Consider the following 25,202-nt stretch of genomic DNA (forward strand, 5'->3'; position numbering starts at 1 on the left):
AGAACATTGGGGCATGGATTGCAATAGGAAGTTAGGACTGGGGCTGTATTGTTTACGGGTGTGTCCCTAATGCCCGTGGGACAGGGTATACAGCAGGTACCCAATACATGCATAGATGGCTGAGGAGAGGGATGGCTGTCTCTCACTCTAGGATGGAGGCTCTGCCTCCTTTGTTCTAGGGCATTCTCCTTCCTGTGCCCTGAGGCCCACAAGAATGGGTATACAGTAGGTACCCCATAAATGCTTGGATGGCTGAGGGAAGGGATGGCTGTGTCTCACTCTAGGACAGTGGCTCTGGTTCCCTTGTTCCATGGCATTCCCCTGCTCCTGTCCCCAGCCCTAAGTTTGGAAGAAGGAACCCCCTCCCTACCACCCTAAAAACACCACCCCATGACTGGAAAGGAAGTAGAATGGCTGGATGTTCACTTACCAAGGCCGATCCGGGGAGGATGGGGCAGACATGGTGGGGCCAGAGGTGTGGGGGACAGAGAGACAATGTCATGGGAGAGGTCAGAGGTCAGAGTTCCCTCAACCCCCAGGGTCCTGGTTAACACTGCCCCGTGAGAATCATTCCGTGGGGGGAGAGATCAGAGACGGGAGGGGGGCGGGGGCGAAGAGGACCTGCCCTCCCCACCCAGCTCCCACCCAGCCTGCCTGCCTGGGCTCTGGGTTTCTGCCATCTTTGGCCAGAACATTCTCCCCAAACTAGGAGATGCCTAAAAATAGACCTAAGCAGGGAAGAAGCGGGATTCGGGGGGGCTGGAGCGGGAGGACACATTAACCAGAAATGAGGAGCAGAGAGCCTGGGGGAGGCTGGAAGCTGGGTACGCAGGGAGAGACAGAGACTAAGAGACAGTGAGATACCAAGATAGGGAGAGCCACGTGATAGACTGGGGAGAGATGAGAAAGAGACCAAGAGACCATGAGGGAGTCAAGAGTCACCCCGCCACCCCCCTGCAGTGACCAAGCTGGCCCTGGCAGAGGGAGGGGTGTCTCTGGAGAGCTCCCAGCTGGGTGAGTCACAAGCTGCCCTCGAGATCTGGGGCGGGGGGTGGGGGCATTTTTGGGGAAGGGAGGGAAATAATGGGGTGGGTCCCTTGTGGCCACAGCCCCAGCCCCAAGGGCCAGCGGCCATGCTCCTCTGGTGCCCCCTGGTGTTCACTGATGGCTGCTGGCCAGTCATCACGGGGGTCCCAGAGGCAGGTGGCTGTCCACCAAGGCTGACTCACCTCCCAGCCGGAACTCTGTGGGGAAGAGAAGGGTCAAGGTCAGCAGATCCCTGGGGATGAGGAGTGGGGATGAGGAGTGGGGCTGAGGGTGGGGTCTGGGGAGGGGGTCCTGGGCCCACCTGGTGCATGATCTTGGTGAAGGCCTCCTGCAGTTTGCCGTGCACCGCGGCCAGCTTCTTGTAGTCACGGTGGGCTTCCAGGATGGGGATGAGGTTCTTGTAGACCTCATTCACCGCCTCGTAGAGCCCGCCCTGAGGGTGAGGTGGGGTCAGGATTCCCCAAACTGTCTTCCTCTCTCCACTGTGCTCCTGTCTACCCATCTCCCTTGTGAGCCTCCGTGCTCCTACCCACCCTCCATCACCTCCTCCAGGAAGCCCACCCTGACCACCCCTATCCCAGATAGGGGTTGAGCCTTTCCACTCAGCTCCCACAGAGGGCTCCATGGTCTTCACTGCTACTTATCTTTTTTGTTTTTTTGAGATAGGGTCTCACTCCATCACCCAGGCTGGAGTGTAGTGGTACAATCATAGCTCACTGCAACCTCCAACTCCTGGGCTCAAGAGATGCTCCCACCCTAGCCTCCCACATAGCTGGAACTACAGGTACATGCCACCATGCCCAAATAATTTTATTTTAGTTTTTGTAGAGTCAGGGTCTCACTATATTGCCCTAGTTGGTCTTGAACTCCTGGGCTCAAGTGATCCTCCTGCCTTGGCCTCTTGATTAGCTGGGATTACAGGTGTGAGCCACCACTCTCCCAGCCCTTCACCACTTTTAGCAAGAATATTCTATGGCACAGGTACGATGTACATCTGCACTTCACCCATCTGTCTTCCCTCATTGATGGGAGAAGCAGTTTTTTTTTCCTATTCCTCAAAGAGGAAAGTGAGTCTCAGAGACAGAGGCATTCCCCAGGGCCAAGACCCAAACACCCACCCATCTGGCCCTGTGCCCATGACCTCCATGCCCAACTGCCTTCTGGCATGTGGTAATATGCCCCTCACCCCCAGCGGGTGCTGGCATCAAGCCTGGCTCAAAACAGGCATCCTGTGAGGTTTGCTGACTGTCAGAAGGCCTGTGTCCACCCCCTGGTTTCTTCCCCTGAGGCTTTTGTGTGTGTATGGTTTTTTTTCGTAATCTTTTTTTTAATACTTTGGGGTACATGCGCAGAACGTGCAGTTTTGTTACATAGGTATACACGTGCCATGGTGGTTTGCTGCACCCATCAACCTGTCACCTACATTAGATACTTCTTCTAATGCTATCCCTCCCCTTAACCCCACCCGTGTATTTTTTTTTTTGAGATGGCTGCAGTCCAGTGGTATGATCTCGGCTCACTGCAACCTCTGCCTCCTGGGTTCAAGCAATTCTCCTGCCTCATCCTACTTAATAGCTGGGATTACAGGCATGTGCCACCACGCCCAGCTACTTTTTTTGCATTTTTAGTAGAGACGGGGTTTCACCATATTGGCCAGGCTGGTCTCGAACTCCTGACCTTGTGATCTACCCACCTCGACCTCTCAAAGTGCCGGGATTACAGGCGTGAGCCACTGCACCCAGCCATATTTGTATTTTTAGTAGAGATGGGGTTTCACTATATTGGCCAGGCTGGTCTCAAACTCCTGACCTCGTGATCCGCCTGCCTCGGCCTCCAAAGTGCTGGGATTACAGGCATGAGCCACTGCGCCCATGCCCAGCTAATTTTTTGTATTTTTTTTTTTTTTTGTAGAGGCAGGGTTTCTCTATGTTGCCCAAGCTGGTCTTGAACTCCCGACCTCAAGTGATCTGCCCGCCCCGGCCTCCCAAAGTGCTGGGATCACAAGCGTGAGCCACCGCACCTGGCCCTTCCTCTGAGGCCTTCGTCTCCAAGAATCCAGCAAAGTGACAATAATGAAAATAATGTCACTAAAGGGCCAGCACCACAGAAGAAATCTCACTGGAACACCTGACTTCAAGTGTGACCTTGAATCTCACTGAGCTCTCAAATGTAACTGCCAGTTCCCCAAAATGTGAGGAACTGAGAAACAGGTAAAATGACATCACATGGACACAGCCAGCCCCACACAAACCAGAAAAACACACGGAGCAAAGGCCCCAGGGCTCCTGCAAGTTAAATGTAGAAACCACCAACTGCCCTCATACAAACAAGCAAACTAGAGAAGAAAACCCCTTTTCCACAGTGGAAAATCAGTTGCCGGGCATGCTGGCTCACGCCTGTAATCCCAGCACTTTGGAAGGCCGAGGCGAGAGGGTTGCATGAGTCTAGGAGTTCAAGCCCAGCCTGGGCAACATAGCAAGATCCCATCTCTTAAAAAAAAAAAATGAACGAAGAAAAAAAAATTAGTTGGGTGTGGTGGTGCGCACTTATAGTCCCAGCTACTCAGGAGGCTGAGGTGGGAGGATCACCTGAGCCGAGGACATAGAGGCTGCAGTGAGCCAGGCTGCACTCCAGCCTGGGTGAGAGAGTAAGACCCTGTCTCAGAAAAAAAAAAGAAAGAAAGAAAAAAGAGACTTAGGATACAGATCAGCGACAGCCATTGTGGGCCCTTAATGGATCCTGATTCAAACCAAGTCACCCCAGAAAAGATACATCAGAGATCATCTGGGACATCTAAATATAGAGTGCAATGAAATAAAGGATGACCATTAACTTGGCCACGCGGGATAAAAGTTTTATAAAAGGGTCTTTATCAGGAAGGGTTGCACAGGGGGTACTTGTGGGAGTGGTGGGAAAATAGCTGGGATTTGTGGTGGTTTTTTTTTTTTTGTTTTTTGTTTTTGGAGACAGAGTCTTGCTCTGTCTGTCAGGCTGGAGTGCAGTGGGCATGATCTCAGCTCACTGCAACCTCCGCCTCCCGGGTTCAAGCGAGTCTCATCCCGAGTAGCTGGGATTACAGACACCTGCCACCATGCCCAGCTAATTTTTGTATTTTTAGTAGACATGGGGTTTCACCATGTTGGCCAGGCTATTCTTGAACTCCTGACCTCGTGATCCGCCTGCCTTGGCTTCCCAAAGTGCTGGGATTACAGGAGTCAGCCACTGCGCCCAGCCTGGGATTTGCTTTAAGCTGGAGCTTCTCCAACTTGAAGATGCATGCGAATATCCCAAATCTTTATTTTATTTATTTTTTGAGACAAGGTTTCACTCTGTCACATAGGTTGGAGTACAGTGGCACGATTACAACTCATTGTAGCCCCAACCTCCTGGGCTCCAGTGATCCTCCCGCTTCAAGCTTCCTGAGTAGCTGGGACTACAGGTGCATGCCACCACACCCAGCTAATTTCTTGTATTTTTTTGTAGAGACAGGGTTTGCCATGTTGCCCAGGCTGGTCTTGAACTCCTGGCCTCAAGTGATCCTCCTGCTTCAGCCTCCCAAAGTGCTGGGATTACAGGCATGAGCCACTGCACCTGACTCATTTTTATTTTAGTATAGAAAGTTTCAAGCATTGCTGGGTGTCCCAGCTACTTGGGAGGCTTGGGTGGGAGGATTGAGTGAGGCCAGGAGTTTGAGACCAGCCTGGGCAACATAGTAAGACTCCCTCTCTATGAAAAAATTAAAAATTGGCAGGGTGTAGTGGCACAACACCTGTAATCCCATGACTTTGGGAGTTTGAAGCGGGCAGATCACTTGAGCTCAGGAGTTCAAGACCAGCCTGGGAAACATGGCAAAACCCCGTCTCTACAAAAAAATACAAAAAATTAGCCGGACATAGTGATGTGTGCCTGTAGTCCCAGCTACTCAGGAGGCCAGGGTGGGAGAATCACCTGAGCCCTGGAGGCCGAGGTTGTAGTGAGCCATGATCACGCCACCGCACTCCAGCCTAGGTGACAGAATGGAGGTCCTGTCTCAAAAAATATCACAAAGAAAAAATATATATAATAATTTAAAAATTGGCCAGGCATGGTGGCATGTGCCTGTGTTCCCAGCTACTTGGGAGGCTGAGGTGGGAGGATTACTTGAGCTCAGGAGTTCGAGGCTGAGTGAGCTACAATCACACCACTGTACACCAGCCTGGGCAAAAGAGCAAGACTCTGTCAAAAACAAACAAACAAAAAAACAAGAAAGGAAAAAAGAAAAGAAAGGAAAATTGAAAGCATCTCTAATGTATGTAAGGCTTGCTATATCAGGCCTGCATCAAGGGTCTCATGGAGACATAGGCAAATAACAGGGCCTCTGAGAAACCCAATTCTCCTTCCTTTTTTTTTTTTTTTTTTTTGAGACAGAGTCTCACTCTGTCACCTAGGCTGGAGTGCAGTGGCGCAATTCTGGCTCACTGCAACCTCTGCCTCCCTGGGTCAAGCGATTCTCCTGCCTCAGCCTCCCGAGTAGCTGGGATTACAGCCGTGCGCCACCACGCCCGGCTAATTTTTGTATTTTTAGTAGAGACAGGGTTTCACCATGCTGGCCAGGCTGGTCTCGAACTCCTGGCCTCATGACCTGCCTGCCTCCGCCTCCCAAAGTGCTGGGGTTACAGGCGTGAGCCACCGCGCCCAGCCTATTCTCCTTCTTTCTAAATCCCCTGCTGGAAGGGTCTAGGAAGCAGATCTGATGGCACCTCCCTGGCCCGAGCCCCCTCTCCTGCACCCAGTCCCCAAGGCCTCACCATGGTGAAGTAGCCGGCTGCCTGTTCCAGCAACCCTACCAGCCCCAGCTCAGTGAAGTGCTTCCCGGAGCAGAAGCCCTCCTCGTCGGGCGACAGGATGTCGTCGGAGATGGCGGACTCCTCTAGCACGTTGGATGAGATGTTCTGGGGTGGGAGAGGTGGCGTCAGACCCTGGTCCCCACTGCACTCGTGCCGTCCGCCACCTGCCAACCCCTGGCCACTCACCTGGAAGGAAACGCAGCCCACGGGCAGGTGGCGGTGGTCCTCGAGCAGGGCGAGGTACTCAGCCACGAGGGCGGCCGCGTGCACCATGCACTGGGCGGCCTCGGCGTGGTTGCCCAGCTCCGCGTGCTTCCCGGCCATGTTCTGCAACCAGGTCAGCCGAAGGTCCGGTGAGCCCTGGTAGCCCCGGGCAATTCTGGAGTCCAGGTGAGGGGGGATGTGAGGAGGGGACTCACCTGGTCCTCCCCACCTGCCTCCCACTTGTCCATTCTCTTCACTGGTTACCCCCATGTCCGCCCCAAGGACCAGCCAATCTCCTCACCTGTACCCCATCCCCTCACTCATTCCCTCACCTGGCCATCCCTCATCTATCTCCCCACCTGTCTTCCCCTTCGCCTATTTTCTTACCTGCTGGCCAGTCATCTGTCTTCACCTGTCTCCTCCCCTGCCTACCTTACGTATTCCTGTAGTCATCTTCCTCCTCACTTGTCCTGCTGTCTCCCACTGACCAGCCAGTCTCCTCACGTGTATCCTACTCACCTGTCTATCCCCTCACCTGTCCACCCCCTCACCTGTCCGTCCCTTCACTTGTCTATCCCCTCACCTGTCCACCCTCTCACCTGTCCATCCCTTCACCTGTCTATCCCCTCACCTGTCCACCCCCTCACCTGTCCATCCCTTCACTTGTCTATCCCCTCACCTGTCCACCCTCTCACCTGTCCATCCCTTCACCTGTCTATCCCCTCACCTGTCCAGCCCCTCACCTGTCCATCCCTTCACTTGTCTATCCCCTCACCTGTCCATCCCTTCACCTGTCTATCCCCTCACCTGTCCACCCCCTCACCTGTCCACCCCCTCACTGTCCACCCTCTCACCTGTCCATCCCTTCACTTGTCTATCCCCTCACCTGCCCACCCTCTCACCTGTCCACCCCCTCACCTGTCCATCCCTTCACCTGTCTATCCCCTCACCTGTCCACCCCCTCACCTGTCCACCCCCTCAACTGTCCACCTTCTCACCTGTCTATCCCCTTACCTGTCCACCCTCTCACCTGCCCGCCCTCACCTGTCCACCCTCTCACCTGCCCATCCCTCACCTGCCCACCTTCTCACCTGTCCACCGTCTCACCTGTCCACCCTCTCACCTGTCCATCCCTTCACTTGTCTATCCCCTCACCTGCCCACCTTCTCACCTGTCCACCTCTCACCTGTCTATCCCCTTACCTGTCCACTCTCTCACCTGTCCACCCCTCACCTGCCCACCCTCTCACCTGTCCATCCCTTCAGCTGTTTGTCCCCTCATCTGTCCACCCCTCACCTGTCCATCCCCTCACTGTCTCTTCACCTGTCCACCCCTCACCTGTTCATCCCCTCACTGTCTCTTCACCTGTCCACCCCTCACCTGTTCATCTCACTTGGCCATCCCTTCACCTGTCTCCTTATCTGTCCACCTCCTCACTTGTTCATCTTCTCATCTGGCCATCTCTTCACCAGTCCATCCCTTCACCTGTCTCCTTGCCTGTTCACCCCTTCACCTGTCTCCTTGCCTGTTCACCCCTTCACCTGTCCACCCCCTCACCTGTCTATCCCCTCACCTGTCCACCCCCTCACCTGTCCATCCCTTCACCTGCCCATCCCCTTACCTGTCCACCCCCTCACCTGTGCATCCCCTCACCTGTCCATCCCTTCACCTGTCCATCCCTTCACCTGTCTGTCCCCTCACCTGTTCACCCTCTCACCTGTCCATTCCTTCGCCTGTCTATCCCCTCATCTGTCCACCCCTTTACCTATCTACCCCTCACCTGTCCATCCTTTCACTGTCTCTTCACCTGTCCACCCCCTCACCTGTTCACCTCACCTGGCCATCCCTTCAGCTGTCTCCTTATCTGTCCACCTCCTCACCTGTTCATCTTCTCATCTGGCCATCTCTTCACCAGTCCATCCCTTCACCTGTCTCCTCACCTGTTCACCTCCTGACTTCTTTACCTCCTGACCTGTCCATCCCCTCACCTGTCTATCCTGTCACCTGTGTCCTCACATGTCCACCCCCTCACTTGTGTCCTCACCTGTCCATTTCTTCACCCACTCACCTGCCTGTCCAACCCTTTTCCTGTCTTCCCACTTACCTGTCTCCTCACCCATCCATCCTACTCACCTGTCTCCTCACCTATGCAGCATCTCCCCGCTTCCTCTATTCACCTGTCTCCTCGCTTATCCAACCCCTCACCTGTCTATCCCTTCACCCCCCTGCCCCACCTTTTCATTTCTCACTTGACCCTCCGCTCTTGAGTTGACTCTACCTGTGGAAACTTGAGTCACCTGAACTCACTATTTCCCCTTCCTTGTGCACCATCTCACTTGTCTATCCACCTATCCCTCCCATATGCCCCACCTCCCCCATCTCCATCACCCGTCCGCCTCTCCTACACTCCTCAATGGGTCTACTCTCTGGATCTCATTTCCCTTCACCTGTAAGCACCTCACCTGTCCCCCTCACCTGTCCTGGCTCTCATCTGTCATCCTCATCAGTACATTCTCCTGGCATCCTCTTTACCTGTTTGCTCATCTGTTCTCTCCTTACTTGTGCCCTCATGTCTGCTCACCTGTCCCCCTCACCTGTCTGCTCCCCTATCCCCCTTACCTGTCTGCTCCCCTGTCCCCCTCACCTGTCTGCTCAGCTGTCTGCTCACCTGTCCCCCTCACCTGTCTGCTCAGCTGTCTGCTCACCTGTCCCCCTCACTTGCCTCTGTTAGGGACTGTATGCTCCCCTGCTCCCTCCTCACCTCCTTAGACATCTACTCTCATCCCTGTTCTCCCTGCACCTGTTGGGGCGTGGGCGTGGCTGAAGGTGCCAGCTGGCCCACCTCACCTGTACATGAGGTCGATGAGCATCTCAGGGTCCTCCTGGTGTTCCTTCATCTTCACCGTGTCCGTCAGGATCATGTGCAGGTTGAACATCAGGTCCTGGACCTGGAGCCGGGGAACGTCCAGGGGCCAATGAGAGCATTAGGAAGTGAAGGGAGCCAAGGTGGTGGGGTTGGGAGTTATATGAAGGGGAGGCGGGGCGGGGACCCAGCAGGTGTCACCTGCTCTGCGAAGGTGCTGTCCCGCAGCCCCATGTCCTCCTCAGCATAGGTGAGGATGGTTTTGAGTGAACGTCGCAGGTGCTCTTCACTGAAGTTCTGCGTCGTCCCCACCAGGGACGAGAGAGACATGGTGACCTGCATCTTCACACGGGCAAAGTTCTGCAGGGACAGGGGCGGGAGGGTGGAGCCGGGAGTCTCAGACCCCAGACCCCACATCAGAGTCTGCTCAACCTGCCGACATGGCCCTTGCGTTCTTTATTTTTTTTGAGATGGGGGTCTCACTCTGTCGCCCAGGCTGGAGTGCAGTGGCATGATCTCAGCTCACTGCAACCTCCATCTCCCGAGTTCAGGCAATTCTCCTGCCTCAGCCTCCCGAGTAGCTGGGACTGCAGGCATATGCCACCACGCCCTACTAATTTTTGTATTTTTGGTAGAGACAGGGTTTCACTGTGTTGGCTATGCTGGTCTCGAACTCCTGAACTCAAGTGATTCACCTGCCTAGGCCTCCCAAAATGCTGGGATTACAGGTGTGAGCCACTGCGCCCAGCATTTTTTCTTTTCTTTCTTTCTTTCTTTTTTTTTTTTTTTGAGACTGAGTGTCACTTTATCACTTAGGCTAGAATGCAGTGGTGCAATCTTGGCTCACTGCAACCTCCGCCTCTCAGGTTCAAGCGATTCTCGTGTCTCAGCCTTCCAAGTAGCTGGGATTACAGGCACCCGCCACCATGCCCAGCTAATTTTTGTATTTTTAGTAGAGATGCGGGGTTCCATCATGTTGGCTGGGCTGGTCTCGAACTCCTGACTTCAAGTGATCCACCTGCCTCAGCTTCCCAAAGTGCTGAGATTACAGGCATGAGCCACTGTGCCTGGCCCTTTTTTTTTTTTTTTTTTTTTTATTGAGACAAGGTCTCACTCTTGCTCAGGCTGGAGTGCAGTGGCACAGTCGTGGCCCACTGCAGCCTCAAACTCCTGGCCTCAAGTGATCCTCTCACCTCAGCCTCCCAAAGTGCTGGGATTACAGGAATGAGCCACGGCACCTGACCCCCAATTGCATTCTGAGCCCTCCTCCTGCTCATTATGCTCAATGACTGTCTCCCCCTCCCTCACTCCCTGTATGGTTGAGACCCCACTGGCCACCCTGACCAGAGCCATGTGTGGACCATGCCTCCTAGCCCCCACTCACGTGGCCGATCTCGAAGTTCTGTCGCATGAGCAGGTACAGCGAGGCGCTGGCGTGCGTGCGGATGGTGCTGATGCGGCTGCCACAGTGTCGTAGGAGCCTCAGGCACAGGTCGGCACACAGCTCCGTGTCCTCCTCGAACAGCAGCTCCGGGAACTGCCCCCAAGGACCCAGACAGACACTGTCCAGCCCCTCCCCGTTCTGGCTCAGAAGGGGACTGGCCCAAATGAGGACTGCTTGGGCAGGGGTTTGTGTTCTGTCCTCTTTGGCCAAGTACCACTGGGTTCGGAGTCAGACCTGGGTTTAAGCCCCTTGCTGTGTGACCCCAGGTGAGTGACTTGGCCACTCTGATTCTGCCTTCCTTCCACTGTAAACTGTGGCAAAGCAGTCAGCTCCATGGAGTTGCAGAGCACACAGTAAGTGCTCAATGAATGAGCTCCTTTTTTTTTTTTTTTTTTGAGACGGAGTTTTGCTCTTGTCTCCCAGGCTGGAGTGCAGTGGCACAATCACAGCTCACTGCAGCTTTGAACTCCCAGGCTCAAGCCATCCTCCTGCCTCAGCCTCCCTAGTAGCTCCCTAGTAGCTGGGATCTCAGGTGGTGTGTGCCATCCTCTCTGGCTAACATTTTTTTTTTTTTTTTTTGAGACAGGCTCTCACTGTGTTGCCCAGGCTGGAGTCCAGTGGCACGATCATGGCTCACTGTAGGCTTGACCTCCCGGGCTCAAGTGATCCTCAGCCTTCCGAGTAGCTAGGACCACAGGTGCATGCCACCACACTCAGTTTATTTTTTTGTAGAAATGGGGTCTCACCGTGTTGCCCAGGCTGGTCTCGAACTCCTAGGCTCACATGATCTTCCTGCCTCAGCCTCCCAAAGTGCTGGGATTACAGGTGTGAGCCACCGTGCCTAGTCCTAGCTAATTTTTAATTTTTTTGTAGAGACAGGGGCCTCACTATGTTGCCCAGGTTGGTCTCAAACTCCTGGCCTCAAGCGATCCTCCCACCTCAGCCTCCCAAAGTGCTGGGATTAGAGGCATGAGCCACTGTGCTCAGCCTAGAGCTGCTACTGTTTTTCTAAGAATCATGGTTGTTGAGTGGTGCTCACCTTGGACACAAGGGCCCTCTGGGTGGCCAGGCCATGCTGCAAGAAGAGGGCACTCTGGGCACTGCCCAGGCTGTACAGCACAACCTTCAGCACTGCCCCCAAGACGCTCTCCCGGGCTTCTGAAAGCATCACCGTCTGGAGGGAAGGGGGTCAGAAATCCAGGTGTTAGAGCCTAGGGTGGTTATGGGGAAAGGGAAGGAGAGGGATTATGGAGTCAGAGACCACAGGGCACTGCAGTTGGGCTCAGAGCACAAGGCAGATGCTGGATCAAGCCCTACCTGCACGATGATCTCCAGTGTGTCCAGAACCACTAGGCTTGCCTCGGTTGCCAGGTTCCCTTCCACCAAGGCCTCGTGTTCCATTTCATCCTTGGTCCTGGAAGGGGAAAGGAGGTCTTGGGGGCCCACTCGGGGTGAGATCCTACTCCATGGCTGAGCTCTCTCCTTCCCCTGGCAGCCCAGGGGGCACTGGCTCCCTGGAAGCTGTTCTGTTTTTTGTTTTTGTTTTTTTTGTTTTCTGAGACAGGGTCTTGCTCTGTTGCCCAGGCTGGAGTGCAGTGGTGTGATCACCAGCTCACTGCAGCCTCAACCTCCCAGGCTCAAGTCATTCTCCCACCTCAGACTCATGAGTGGCTGGGACCACAGGCACATGCCACCATGCCTGGCTAATTTTTTTTTTTTTTTTTTGAGATGGAGTCTCGCTCTGTCACCCAGGCTGGAGTGCAGTGGCGCGATCTCGGCTCACTGTAAGCTCCGCCTCCCGGGTTCACACCATTCTCCTGCCTCAGCCTCGCTAGTAGCTGGGACTACAGGCACCTGCCACCACACCTGGCTTATTTTTTATATATTTTTTAGTAGAGACAAGGTTTCACCGTTAGCCAGGATGGTCTCGATCTCCTGATCTTGTGATCCGCCTGCCTCGGCCTCCCAAAGTGCTGGGATTACAGGCATGAGCCACTGCGCCCGGCCCATGCCCGGCTAATTTTTAAATTTTTGGTAGAGAGGGTCTTACTATGTTGCCCAGGCTGGTCTCGAACTCCTGGACTCAAGCAATCCTCCTGCCTCGGCCCAAACTGTTCTGAACTCAGCAGACACCCTCCTGCCCACACCTACTTGTCCACGCGGTCTGAGGTTTGCTTCCAGTGTGTGACGCTCTTCCGCCAGCGCACATTCTCCGGATTCCCAAACGGGCTCCTCTCTGAGACGCGTGGGTGCACGATCACAGATGCGTAAAAACACAGGGCACACGTGAACATCAGGAGAAATGCACAGGCATGAAGATATTCAGGTGGGCTGACCCATGAGGGCACTGGGTGGAGCAGAAGCCTGCCGGGTGGACGCACAGGGGCAAACACGAGTGACAGATGGGGACGCACAGGCGCATGTGTACGGTGATGATTTGTGGACTTCTCTCCAGGAAAAGTGAGGCAGAAAGTAAGCTAGGGATGGCCCCCTTCATGGGGTCCCCTTGACACAAGGTGGGAGCAGCTGGTGGGATGGGGACACGTGGGTATGTCACCCTCTTACCACGACTTCGCCGAACCATTTCTTGTCGAGCTCCGATGGTACCCAGAATGGCTTCCTCTAGCCGCGCCTTCATATCCAGAGATTTTTTGAATGTGAGGCTGTTGATGCGTTCAAAGGCCTTTTTCCCCTGGGGGTGCAGAGAACTGGGGTTCCAGGCTGACTCTGCTCTTTTCGGGGGGACCTGGGCTGGCCCCATCCCTTTCTTTGTGCTCTTTCTCACCTCCGGGCCCCTGTGCTTAAAGACAGATTGCCTTTTTCCTCTAAATTCTTAGCACTTACCAAAAAAAAAATTTTTTTTTTTTCTTGAAACAGAGTCTCTCTCATTCTGTCGCCCAGGGTGAAGAGCAGTGGCATGATCTTGGCTCATTGCAACCTCCACCTCCTGGGCTCAGGCAATCCACCTCAGCCACTTCCATAGCTGGGACTACCAGCATGTGCCACCATGCTCAGGTAATTTTTGTATTTTTCGTAGAGATGGGGTTTTACCATGCTGCCCAGGCTGGTCTCAAACTCGTGGGCTCAAGCAGTTTGCCTGCCTTAGCCTCCTCAAGTGCTGGGATTACAGGCGTGAGCCACCGCACCAGGCCCTGTTTTAAAAAAATTTCTTTTCTTCTTTTTTTTTTTTGAGATGGAGTCTCACTCTGTTGCCCAGGCTGGTGTGCAGTGGCACAATCTCAGCTCACTGCAACCTCCACCTCCCGGGTTCAAGTGATTCTCCTGTCTCAGCCTCCCAAGTAGCTGGGACTACAGGTGCGCGCCACCACACCCAGCTATTATTTTGTATTTTTAGTAGAGACGGGGTTTCAGTATGTTGGCCAGACTGCTCTTGAACTCCTGACCTCAGGCGATCCACCTGCCTCGGCCTCCCAAAGTGCTGGGATTACAGGTGTGAGCCACTGCACCCGGCCTCCACCTTCCAAATTCTATTCACAAAGGCACTTCTGACTTTATTCCTTGCCTCAGCACAGAAACAGTCCACCCCTTTCCTCTCAGTCCCACAGAGTCCTCTGCACAAAGACAGTCCACCCCTTCCCACTCAGCCCGCAGCACGCTGGGTCCCTGGGTACATCCTTAGCCTGCCTCCTCCATCATCTCCTGCCCACGCCCTCAAACCTTGTACTCAAAGGCAGCTAGGCAAAGGTACAGCAAATCCAACAGACGTCCCAGCTGGGGGAGTGTCAGGTCAGTGGCCCAGCGCTGCAGGAGCGCCGGCTCGGTGTTTTTCAGCACCCACAGCACACACGCCAGCAAGGTCCGGCTTGACTCAGCAGAGAGGGCACAGCCTGCGCGAGAAGCCTGGGGCCAGAGAGGAATCAAAGTCAATTTCCATTTTCTCCATGTGAGATGAATCCTGGCCAATCTGTATCTTGATACATGACTTCTCTCATTCAAAGTGGATGATGTCTATGGGGACAAGCCTCCCTACTCACCGTTGGTGGCCCCTGGGAGATGCTGGCCCGGGAGCCAGGGGCTAGGGGGCCACCAGCAATGGCCATGGCCACAGAGGGGTTGATGGTACCCGCAATGTCCCCTTCGCCTTCTGTGTCTGAGTCAAGCATTGAGGCCAGTCTTGACCGCTGACCTGGGCCCTCTGGCAGGGAAAGACAGAGGGAAAGAAAGATAAACCCTTGGTAAGTGCTGTCCCTGTCTCAAATTTCAGAAGTCTTCCCTCATGGCCAGGCACAGTGGCTCACGCCTGTAATACCAGCACTTTGGGAGGCAGAGGCGGGTGGATCACCTGAGGTCAGGAGTTCGAGACCAGCCTGGCCAACGTGGCAAAATCCCATCTCTACTAAAATTACAAAAAATTAGCTGGGTGTGGTGGCGGGCGCCTGTAATCCCAGCTACTCGGGAGGCTGTGGCACGAGAATCTCTTGAACCTGGGAGGTGGAGGTTACAGTGAGCCGAGATCGCGCCACTGCACTCCAGCCTGGGCAACAGAGCGACACTCTGTCTCAAAAAAAAAAAAAAAAAGAAGTCTTCCCTCACAACAGTCCCCAAGAGTGGGTTTCTGGTTGTCTGCTCCTGGAATTCACTTATTTTACTTATTTTATTTATTATTGTTTTTTGAGACGGAGTCTTGCTCTGTTGCCCCGGCTGGAGTACAGTGGCCTGATCTCAGCTCACTGCAACCTCCGCCCCCCAGGTTCAAGCAATTCTCCTGCCTCAGCTTCCGGAGTAGCTGTGATTACAGGCACCCGCCACCACACCCGGCTAATTTTTGTATTTTTAGTAGAGACGGGGTTTCACCATGTTGGCCAGGCTAGTCTCAAACTCCTGACCTTGTGATCTGCCCGTCTCAGCCTTCCAAAGTGCTGGGACTATAGGCATGAGCCATGGCGCCTGGCCTATTTTATTTTTTTTTGGATACAGTCTTGCTTTGTCACATAAGCTGGAGTACAGTGGCGCCATCTTGGCCCACTGCGACCTCTGCCTCCCGGGTTCAAGCAATTCTCGTGCCTCAGCCTCCCGAGTAGCTGGTATTACAGGTGCGCGCCACCGTGCATGGCTAATTTTTGTATTTTTAGTAGAGATGGGGTTTTACCACATTGGCCAGACTGGTTTCAAACTCCTGACCTCGAATGATCTGCCCGCCTCGGCCTCCCAAAGTATTAGGATTACAGGCGTGAGCCACTGCACTTGGCCAATTTTATTTTATTTTTTTCAGACAGGATCTCACTCTGTCACCCAGGCTGGAGTGCAGTGGCACAATCTTGGCTTACTGCAGCCTCAACCTCCTGAACTCAAGTGATCCTCCCACCTCAGCCTCCTGAGTAGTTGGAACTGCAGGTGCGTGCTGCCACGCCCAGCTAATTTTTGTAGTTTTTGCAGAGACGTGGTCTCACTAGGTTGTCTAGGCTGGTCCTCAACTCCTGGACTCAAGTGATCCGCCCACCTTGGACTCCCAAAGTGCTGGGATTACAGGTATGAGCCACTGCACCTGGCCTTGATGTTATTACTATAGCATCAATCAGCACTTATATGGTATCTCCTATGTGCCAGATGCTGTTCTAAGGACTTTAAAAATATTCACTCTTTCAAATCATAGGAGCTCAAGAAAAAAAAAAAATCACTTTTTTTTTTTTTTTTTTTTTTGAGGCGGAGTCTCACTCTGTTGCCCAGGCTGGAGTGCAGTAGAATGATCCTGGCTCACCACAACCTCCGCCTCCCAGGTTCTAGTGATTCTCCTGCCTCAGCCTCCCAAGTAGCTGGGACTGCAGGTGCGTGCCACCATGCCTGGCTAATTTTTGTATTTTTAGTAGAGATGGGGTTTCACTATGTTGGCCAGGCTGGTCTTGAACTCCTGACCTCATGATCTGCCCGCCTCGGCCTCCCAAAGTGCTGAGATTACAGGCATGAGCCACTGCGCCCGGTTTTTTTTTTTTTTTTTTTTTTTTTTTGAGATGGAGTCTTGCTCTGTTGCCTAGGCTGGAGTGCAGTGACGCGATCTCGGCTCACTGCAACCTCTGCCTCCCGGGTTCAAGTGATTCTCCTGCCTCAGCATCCTAAGTAGCTGGGATTACAGGCATGCAGCATCATGCCTGCCTAATTTTTTTTTTTGTATTTTTAGTAGAGACTGGGTTTCACCATGTTGGTCAGGCTGGTCTCAAACTCCTGACCTTGTGATCCGCCCACCTCAGCCTCCCAAAGTGCTGGGACTACAGGCATGAGCCACTGCACCCGGCTTAAAAAAATCACTGTTAATCGGCTGGGCGTGGTGGCTCACGCCTGTAATCCCAGCACTTTGTGATGTCGAGGCGGGAGGATCACAAGGTCAGGAGATCGAGACCATCCTGGTTAATACAGTGAAACCTGTCTCTCCTAAAAATACAAAAAAAACTAGTCAGGCGTGGTGACGGGCGCCTGTAGTCCCAGCTACTCGGGAGGCTGAAGCAGGAGAATGGTGTCAACCCAGGAGGCAGAGCTTGCAGTGAGCCGAGATAGCGCCACTGCACTCCAGCCTGGGCAAGAGCGAGACTCTGTCTCAAAAAAAAAAAAAAAATTTACTCTTAATCATCAAAACAACCATATGGAGATAAGTACTTTCATTAGTCCCACTTTATGGACGAAGAAATTGAGGTACAGTGAGGTTAAGTTACTTGCCCAGGGTCACATAGCAGGTAAATGGAAGAGCTACAATTTTTTTGTTTTGTTTTTTGTTTTTTTTTTGAGACAGAGTTTTGCTCTTGTTGCCCAGGCTGGAGTGCAATGGCACAATCTCGGCTCACTGCGACCTCCATCTCCCAGGTTCAAGCGATACTCCTGCCTCAGCCTCCCAAGTAGCTTGGATTACCGGTGCCCACCACCACGTCGAGCTAATGTTTGTATTTTTGGGACAGACAGGGTTTTACCATGTTGTCCAGGCTGGTCTCGATCTCCTGACCTCAGGTGATCCACCTGCCTCGGCCTCCCAAAGTGCTGGGATTACAGGTATGAACCACATGTGCCCAGCCCAAAAGCTACAATTTTATCCTCAACAGTCTGGTTCCCAAGTCTATGCTCTTAAAAAGGTAACCCCCATTCTCTCCCCTAAAAAGTCTCAACAGAGGGAGGAGTTGTCAACAAATATATAGCAGATCTTGCCCTAGAGTCTCCTGAAACAAAAGGTAGACTGAGTGTAAATAAAGCTCTAGCCCAGTCCAGCCTAGCTCAATTCCTGATTGGACTGAGGTGATCAGCCTGTTATCCTATCTGCCTAAGAGAGGGAAAGGACACTTCTCACTGGGCAAAGATGACATTGCTTCATCCCTATGGTTCTTTTTTATACAATGTCCAGAATATAATAAAAAACTACAAGGCAAGGGATGAGGCAGGAAAATGTGGTGGATAAGAGAGAAAAAGAGACAACAGAAGCAGACACATGGATGATCAAATCTGGAAGTCAGCAAACAGAAACTTTTAAAGTTAGAAGAAAAGATGAGCAAAAATGAGACAAAAGATGGAGAATTTCAACAGGGAATTGGGATCTACAAAAAAATCACATGGATATTTTACACTGGAAAAAAATATATAATATCTGAATTTTTTTTTTTTTTTTTTTTGAGACGGAGTCTCGCTCTGTCGCCCAGGCTGGAGTGCAGTGGTGCGATCTCAGCTCACTGCAAGCTCCGCCTCCCGTGTTCATGCCATTCTCCTGCCTCAGCCTCCCGAGTAGCTGGGACTACAGGCACCCACCACCATGCCCAGCTAATTTTTTGTATTTTTAGTAGAGACGGGGTTTCACCATGTTAGCCAGGATGGTCTCGATCTCCTGACCTCGTGATCTGCCTGCCTCAGCCTCCTGCAGTGCTGGGATTACAGGCATGAGCCACTGCGCCCGGCCTAATATCTGAAATTAAGAACTCAACGGATGGGGTCAACAGGACACTGGGCACAACAGAAGACATAAGTGGTGAACTCATAGACAAGTGAACAAAAAACTTCCCAGTTGGATTACAGAGAGGAAAGAATGGAAAAAACAGAACAGGACATAACAGATGTGATCAAAAGGCCTAATATATGTGTAATTGGAGTCCCAGGAGTGAAGAGTGAAAATGAGGCAGAAAAAAATTCAAGTGAGAATGGCTAAGAATTTCCCCAAACTGATGAAAGGCATCCACCCACAAATCCCAATTTTGTACTTCCAACCACTGTTATACCACCCCCCTCAACAATGCCTATAAATGTTTGTTGAAAATGAGTGAATGAATGTACTCCAATCATTTTCTCACTTGGATGTTCCCTACTTTTTGCTCTTCTTAGAAAATAATAAATGGTACAATAATATCTCCCATCTATTGTAGGCTGACAATATCTCAGTACTACAGCCCCCCACATTTTCACATAACCTTATGAAGTAGTTGGTGTTGTTACTGTCTCCATTACAGGGGAGAAACCTGAGGCTCAGAGATGTTATGACTTAAGTAGTCTGTCCTAGCACTTTAACCTGCTCTGCTAATCCTAATGTCTATACTCATACCAGTGACTGTGTTCTCCCACCTTTACTATCCTGTGCCTTCTGTGACCAAGTCCCTGGATCATGTGACCCCATCTTCCCCTGGCCCACTGACCAGCAAAGTCATGCAGCCGTGGCAAGGTATCCCGTGCAATCGATAGCAGTGGCAGGTACAGCTCGGCCACACGAGCCTTCACAGTGGCCTCGGCGTAGCGGGGGTCAGTGTCATGGCCACATAGCAGGCTGTGCACAGCACTGATGGCCTTCTTGTGCAACAGGAATGCCCTATGGGGTAATGAGGTGCTCAGGACAGGGTGGACATGGCTCCTGGACTGTCCCACCTGTCCTGGGGCTAGACAGGAGCTCTGCTCACCCTTCAGCCTCAGGTTCGAGGGCCAGTGCCAGCTCCGTCAGCAGGAGCCCAGCTAGGAAGTGCTGCTGCCGGAATGGTCCACTCAGTTCGAACATGCTGGTCACCTTGGGGTCCGGGGCTTGGCTGGAGAAGGTGGAGCTCTGCAGAGTGGGGGAAAAATGGGGGATGCCAGCGGTCAAGGGTCAGAGGTGGCAGGTCACCATTAAAGCCATCTTGGAGGTGACAGAAATCATGGTGCCAATAGCCACAGATGAAAGACTGATGTTAAGTCATCTGGAGGTGACAGTGGGCATGGGTTTCAAGGCCAGAAGTGAGGGGCTGACGTTAACCCATCTGTGATGTAACAGGGCACGGAGTCAAAAGTCAGAGGACTGAGAAATAGCAGATGGAACACTGGGCTGGGAGTTAGGATTTAGGGGAGAGAAATCAGAGGTTAGTCCTTCTGGGAAATTGCTGAGAATGGCAAGAGAGGTGAAGGGTCAGAAGTCAAAAGTCAAACATAAGGGATTAGTTCACCTAGGCAGTGGTCCACCGTGAAAGGGACAGAGATGAGGGAACCATAGGAGATGGACTGAAGGTGAGAGGTTGTAGGTCAAAGAGAGGAGGCAGAAGTGAAGGCAGCCCACCTGGGAGGTGGTGGAGGACACAGAGGGGGAGGGCGAGGCTGGAGGTGACAGGGGGCAGCAGGGGAGGTTGAGGGTCACGTAGTGCTCGTGGCTGCACAGGATGCGGGTGAATTCCATGCGCAGGGTCAGCAGGGCTGCTGGATTAGGGGACGACTGGAGCCGCGTGGCCACCTGCAGGAGAGGGGTGGCCATCAGTGATGTCAACATTGCTCCGCCTTCCATCCATGCCATGCCCACCCTGCCCACGCCCACTCCTACCTGCTTGTAGTGGGCCCGGACCAGGCTGAAGACAAAGCCCCGGTCCACCAGGGACAGAAGGTCACTGAGGAAGAAAGCCAGGCTGGCGTTGAGGTGCTCGGCCAGCTCCACATCCTGGGGACACAGGTGCCTGTCAACCCACACACCCAAACCTCAGCCCCGACAGGGGCTTGGCTCTCACCAAGATCATCTGCCACCCCTAGGAGCTGTATCACTGCCCCAAAGCCTTTGTCTGTGGGCTGTGGTGACTCTGGGACTTCCTGGTTGTCCTCCTCAGGCTGCCTTCCCCTCCCATGCTCCTTAAGACACCAAGGCAGATATGGGCTAACTCCCTGCAAGATCCTCTCGCTCTCTCTGTCCAGAGTTCAGAGCTGGGGAGAGACTATATTTCCCAGCCTCCCTTCCAGTTGAACCACATGACCAATTCTGGCCAATGGGATTTGAGGGGAAAGTGAGGTGGCCACTTATATGGCAGAAGCAGGTGGGTGCCGGGGAACTGCCAGGGCCAGGCCCACACAGTGATGCCTCTACAACCTACTTAATACTCAGAAATAAGCTATGGTTATTTAAATCACTTGTGACTGTGTTGAAGCGAATTAGCCTCTGCCCTAACTGATCGACTCTTACCATCATTTATTTTTATTTTAATTTTAATTAATTAATTTATTTTTTGAGATGGAGTCTTGCTCTGTCACTAAGGCTGGAGTACAGTGGCACAATCTCGGCTCACTGCAACTTCTGTCTCCCAGGTTCAAGCGATTCTTCTGCCTCAGCTTCCCCAGTAGCTTGGATTACAGACACCCACCACCACGCCTAGCTAATTTTTTTATTTTTAGTAGAGATGGGGTTTTGCCATATTGGTCAGGCTGGTCTCGAACTCCTGACCTCAGGTGATCTGCTTCCCTTGGCTTCCCAAAGTGCTGGGATTACAGGCGTGAGATACCGCACCCGGCCTCTCAGCACCATTTAATGTGAGCTTTACTGAGCATCTACTCTGTGCCAATCCCTGTGAATGAGGCAGATGCCATCCCTGCTGCGGGTCCAACTCAATCCAGTGTGTGTGTGTGGGGCGGGGGCAGGGAGACACAAAATAAACAAGAATTTCAGATAGTTCTATGTGCTTCAAAGACAATATTAAATTGGTGCAAAAGTAATTGCAGTTTTGCAATTACTTTCAATGGCAAAAACTGTAATTACTTTTCTTTCTTTCTTTCTTTCTTTCTTTTTTTTTTTTTTGAGACGGAGTCTTGCTCTGTCGCCCAGGCTATAGTGCAATGGCGCGATCTCGGCTCACTGCAACCTCTGCCTCCTGGGTTCAAGCGATTCTCCTGCCTCAGCCTTCTGAGTAGCTGGGATTACAGGTGCGCACCACCACACCTGGCTAACTTCTGTGTTTTTAGTAGAGACAGGGTTTCACCATGTTGGTAAGGCTGGTCTCAAACTCCTGACCTCAGGTGATCCGCCCTCCTCGGCCTCCTAAAGTGTTGGGATTACAGGCGTGAGCCACCATGCCCAGCCTATAATTACTTGTCACCAACCTTAACAGACGGGGGTGACATTTTCAGAGATACTGAAGGATACCAAAGAGCCATGGGGAGAATGGCATCCTGGGTTAAGGGAACAGTCAGTGCAAAGGCCCTGAGGCAGGATGTGCCTAGCAAGTCCGGGGAACAGTGAGGTGGCTGATGTGGCCCTGAGGCCCAGCTGGTATTCGTTCTGCCCTCATACTCTCTTGAGCCACTCTGAGGCCTCACAAGTTAGCCTCAGTGGCCCTCAAATCCCTGCAACCCGGCCAGGCATGGTGGCTCCTGCCTGTAATCCTAGCACTTTAGGAGGCTGAGGTGGGTGGATCACAGGGTCAGGAGTTTGAGATCAGCCTGGCCAATATGGTGAAACCCCATCTCTACTAAAAATACAAAAAATTAGCCAGGGGTGGTGGTGGGCGCCTATAGTCCCAGCTACTTGGGAGGCTGAGCCAGGAGAATCGCTTGAACCCAGGAGGAGGAGGTTGCAGTGAGCTGAGATTGCGCCACTGCACTCCCGCCTGGGCGACAGAATGAGACTCCGTCTCAAAAAAAAAAAAAAATTAGCCGGGCATGGTGGCGCACCCCTGTAGTCCCAGCTACTCAGGAGGCTGAGGCAGGAGAATTGCTTGAACCTGGGAGGCGGAGGTTGCGGTGAGCCGAGATCGTGCCATTGCACTCCAGCCTCGGGGACAGAGCAAGACTCCATCTCAAAAAAAAAAGTGGATTATCACAGGCATTGTTCTTCTCTGGATCTCTTTCTTGGGGTAGTTTCCTCACCATCTGGATCAGCCCCTGGGAATGTCAGTCTTTGGGAAGGCTCCAGTGAGACAAGGCCAGAACCTTTGAGACCAGCTTGGAGGTCACATGTGATTGTGTAAGGGTTGGCCTGGGCCAGAACGCCATTTCAAAAATCTGGAAAGTTCCCAGCAAATCCAGAGGTCCCATTTCTCCTTAGACACCAGGCCATCTCCTGGCATGGGAACATAGGAAGACCCCATCTCTACACACACACACACACACAAAAATAGGTGGGTATGGTAGCACGCACCTGTAGCCCCAGCTACTCTGGAGGCTGAGGTGGGAGGATTGCTTTAGCCCAGGAGTTTGAGGCTACAGTGAGCCATGATCACACCACCACACTCTAGTCTGGACAACAGAGCAAGACCGTGTCTCAAACAAAAACAAATAAAAAAACAAAAACAAAACCACACACAAAAAAACCCCAGTCAATCTGGCCAGGCATGGTTCACGCTTGTAATCCCGGCACTTTGGGAAGCCAAAGTGGGAGAAGCCCTTGAGCTCAGGAGTTGGAGACCAGTCTGGGCAACATAGTGAGACCCTGACTCTACTAAAAAAAAAAAAAAAAAAAAAAAAAATTGCCAAGTATGTTGGCTTGTGCCTCTGGTCACAGCTACTTGGGAGGCTGAGGAGAGAGGATCCCTTGAGCCCAGGAGGTCAAGGCTGCCGTGAACTATGATCGCACCACTGCGCTCCAGCCTGGGCAACACAGCAAGACCCTATCTCCAAACAAAAACAAAAACAGCCAATCTGGACATAGCTGAGCCACATTCCTGCAGGGTTTCTGTTGGCTGGATTGAGTGATGGTCACCCCTGTTAGGTGGGACATCTGCCCTCTGCTCCACCATAAGCCCCACTTTCCCAGCTGAAACTGGTATTGACAGTGAGGGGTCTGGAGCTGGTGGCTCAGATTCAAAAGCCTCATTCTGCCCCTTCTCAGTCGTGTGGTACAAGGTTAAGCTACCACTCATTCGATGCCTCAGTTTCCCCATCAGTAAAATGGAGATAACAATAATACTAACTTCATGGGTTGTTGTGAGAATTTAATGATACGATCCAAGGCCGGGCGCGGTGGCTCACGCCTGTAATCCCAGCACTTTGGGAGGGCAAGGCGGGCAGATCACCTGAGGTTAGGAGTTCCAGACCAGCCAGGCCAACATGGAGAAACACTGTCTCTACTGAAAATACAAAATTAGCTGGGCGTGGTAGTGCATGCCTGTAATCCCAGCTACTTGGGAGGCTGAGGCAGGAGAATCGCTTGAACCTGGGAGGCGGAGGTTGTGGTGAGCCAAGATTGCGCCATCGCACTCCAGCCTGGACAACAAGAGTGAAACTCTGTCTCAGAAAAAAAACAACAACAAAAAAATGATACGATCCACATAAAATGCTTAGATATACAGTAAGTGCTCAATAAATGCTCCATATTATTACTATTATGATTAGTATTGCCTGCCTAGCCCCTGAGGGCATTGGAATTGGTAATCCAGGGCCTGAACAAGTCCACTGTCAGGGTCTCAGAACATCAACATCCATTTATTGAGCACTTGCTGTATACTCTGACTGTGCTAAGGGTTAATGGATCTGCCTTGTCACTTCCCCGCTCCCACCAACCCTCATTTCCTTCCTCATTCACTACAATCTAGCCATCCTTACTGCTCTACTGTTAGCCCAAGCATGGTCTTGCCTCAGGGCCTTTGCACCTGCTATTCCCCCTGCCTGGAATGCTCTTTCCCCAGACATTGCATGGAATGATCCCTTACTTTCTTCAAGTCTCCCCTTAAAAGCTACACAAGGGTAAGGATTTGGGTCTGTTTTGTTTATTGTTATATTGCTACACCCAGCACAGGGCTGTGCACGTTACAGGCACTTAAGAAACAGACAATGAATGAACGGATCCACCCAGCAAAGTGGATTCCTGGTCTTACGGCCAGGAGACACTGGGCAGGATTGGCGCCCCCACCTGGCTGGCTCTATGTCCTCCCTCAGGTTTCTTCCCACATTGAGACCCTGCATCTCTCACCTTGTGGACACGGGTGATGACCTCCAGGCCCACAGAGCCCACCAAGGCAGTGATGTCGTCCAGGAAGCGTCCGGGGAAGCGCAGCTTGCGGGGTGTGTCTAGTCGCTGGCCAAGCAGCAGGTGCAGCGCCATACTCTTCACCTGGGGGTGGGGTGAGAGGGCTGTGGGTGGGATTTGAAGGGCTGTGGGTAGGACTTGAAGGGCTGTGGGTGGGGCTTGAAGGGCTGTGGGTGGGGCTTGAAGGACTGTGGGTGGGGCTTGAAGGGCTGTGGGTGGAGGAGGCTTGACAGGAGGGGCGGGGCTTTATTAGCAATGGAGGTGGGCTGAAGGTAGGTTTGAGCCCTGTAGCTGCAGGTAGAAGCTGGGGCCTGAGGGATGTGGGTGGGGCTTGTGACCTATGGATGGGGCTTAAGAAAGCCGTGGGCAGATCCTGTGAGCATCCCAGGCAAAGTGTAGAGAGTGGGAAGGCTGAGAGGATGTGGGAGGGGCTTATGCGGGTCTCCCCAGGGCAAGTCAGAGGTGGGACAAAGGGTGGGGCTTGAGGCACTGGATTTGAAGGGAGCTTTATTGGAGGCCCAGAGGGGATGCAGCCAGCAGGCCCTGGGAAGGAGGCTTCAAATAACCTATTGAAGAGTTTTAGGGATGTGTCTTACCTTGATCAGAAAGCTTTCCCTCTTTTTTTTTTTTTTTTTTTGAGATGGAGTCTTGCCGTCACCC

The 25,202-nt window shown here is 52.6% G+C and overlaps 1 protein-coding gene and 1 long non-coding RNA gene across 13 annotated transcripts in view; one reads left to right on the forward strand and one right to left on the reverse strand.

Moving 5' to 3' along the window:
• Positions 1 to 25,202, reverse strand: part of DOCK6 (dedicator of cytokinesis 6) — a 63,230-nt gene that overhangs the window by 3,557 nt on the left and 34,471 nt on the right. For 8 of the 11 annotated variants that reach the window (NM_020812.4, XM_047439124.1, NM_001367830.1 and 5 more), the window contains 18 exons: positions 24,486 to 24,626; positions 20,142 to 20,255; positions 19,884 to 20,054; positions 19,258 to 19,397; positions 19,000 to 19,169; positions 14,380 to 14,540; positions 14,063 to 14,245; positions 12,950 to 13,076; positions 12,536 to 12,620; positions 11,702 to 11,798; positions 11,424 to 11,558; positions 10,325 to 10,477; positions 9,142 to 9,300; positions 8,925 to 9,025; positions 6,060 to 6,252; positions 5,835 to 5,978; positions 1,349 to 1,480; positions 1,230 to 1,244 (listed from right to left, as the gene is read on the reverse strand). In NM_020812.4, the coding sequence (NP_065863.2) occupies positions 1,230 to 1,244; positions 1,349 to 1,480; positions 5,835 to 5,978; positions 6,060 to 6,252; positions 8,925 to 9,025; positions 9,142 to 9,300; positions 10,325 to 10,477; positions 11,424 to 11,558; positions 11,702 to 11,798; positions 12,536 to 12,620; positions 12,950 to 13,076; positions 14,063 to 14,245; positions 14,380 to 14,540; positions 19,000 to 19,169; positions 19,258 to 19,397; positions 19,884 to 20,054; positions 20,142 to 20,255; positions 24,486 to 24,626 (2,421 nt within the window). Of the gene's footprint in view, positions 1 to 1,229; positions 1,245 to 1,348; positions 1,481 to 5,834; positions 5,979 to 6,059; positions 6,253 to 8,924; positions 9,026 to 9,141; positions 9,301 to 10,324; positions 10,478 to 11,423; positions 11,559 to 11,701; positions 11,799 to 12,535; positions 12,621 to 12,949; positions 13,077 to 14,062; positions 14,246 to 14,379; positions 14,541 to 18,999; positions 19,170 to 19,257; positions 19,398 to 19,883; positions 20,055 to 20,141; positions 20,272 to 24,485; positions 24,627 to 25,202 lie in introns of those variants that run through there. The other 3 variants (XM_047439125.1, XM_047439127.1, XM_047439126.1) reach the window with 3 other exon arrangements.
• DOCK6-AS1 (DOCK6 antisense RNA 1) lies at positions 777 to 18,722 on the forward strand. Of its 2 annotated transcripts, none has more exons than NR_186345.1 (3): positions 777 to 1,014; positions 2,959 to 3,257; positions 17,127 to 18,722. It is a non-coding gene; the product is annotated as a DOCK6 antisense RNA 1 (long non-coding RNA). The 2 variants fall into 2 exon arrangements; NR_134909.1 differs by lacking the exon at positions 17,127 to 18,722 and adding an exon at positions 13,286 to 13,317.

Source organism: Homo sapiens, chromosome 19, assembly GCF_000001405.40.
Source record: "Homo sapiens chromosome 19, GRCh38.p14 Primary Assembly".
NCBI classification, from domain to species: Eukaryota; Metazoa; Chordata; class Mammalia; order Primates; family Hominidae; genus Homo; species Homo sapiens.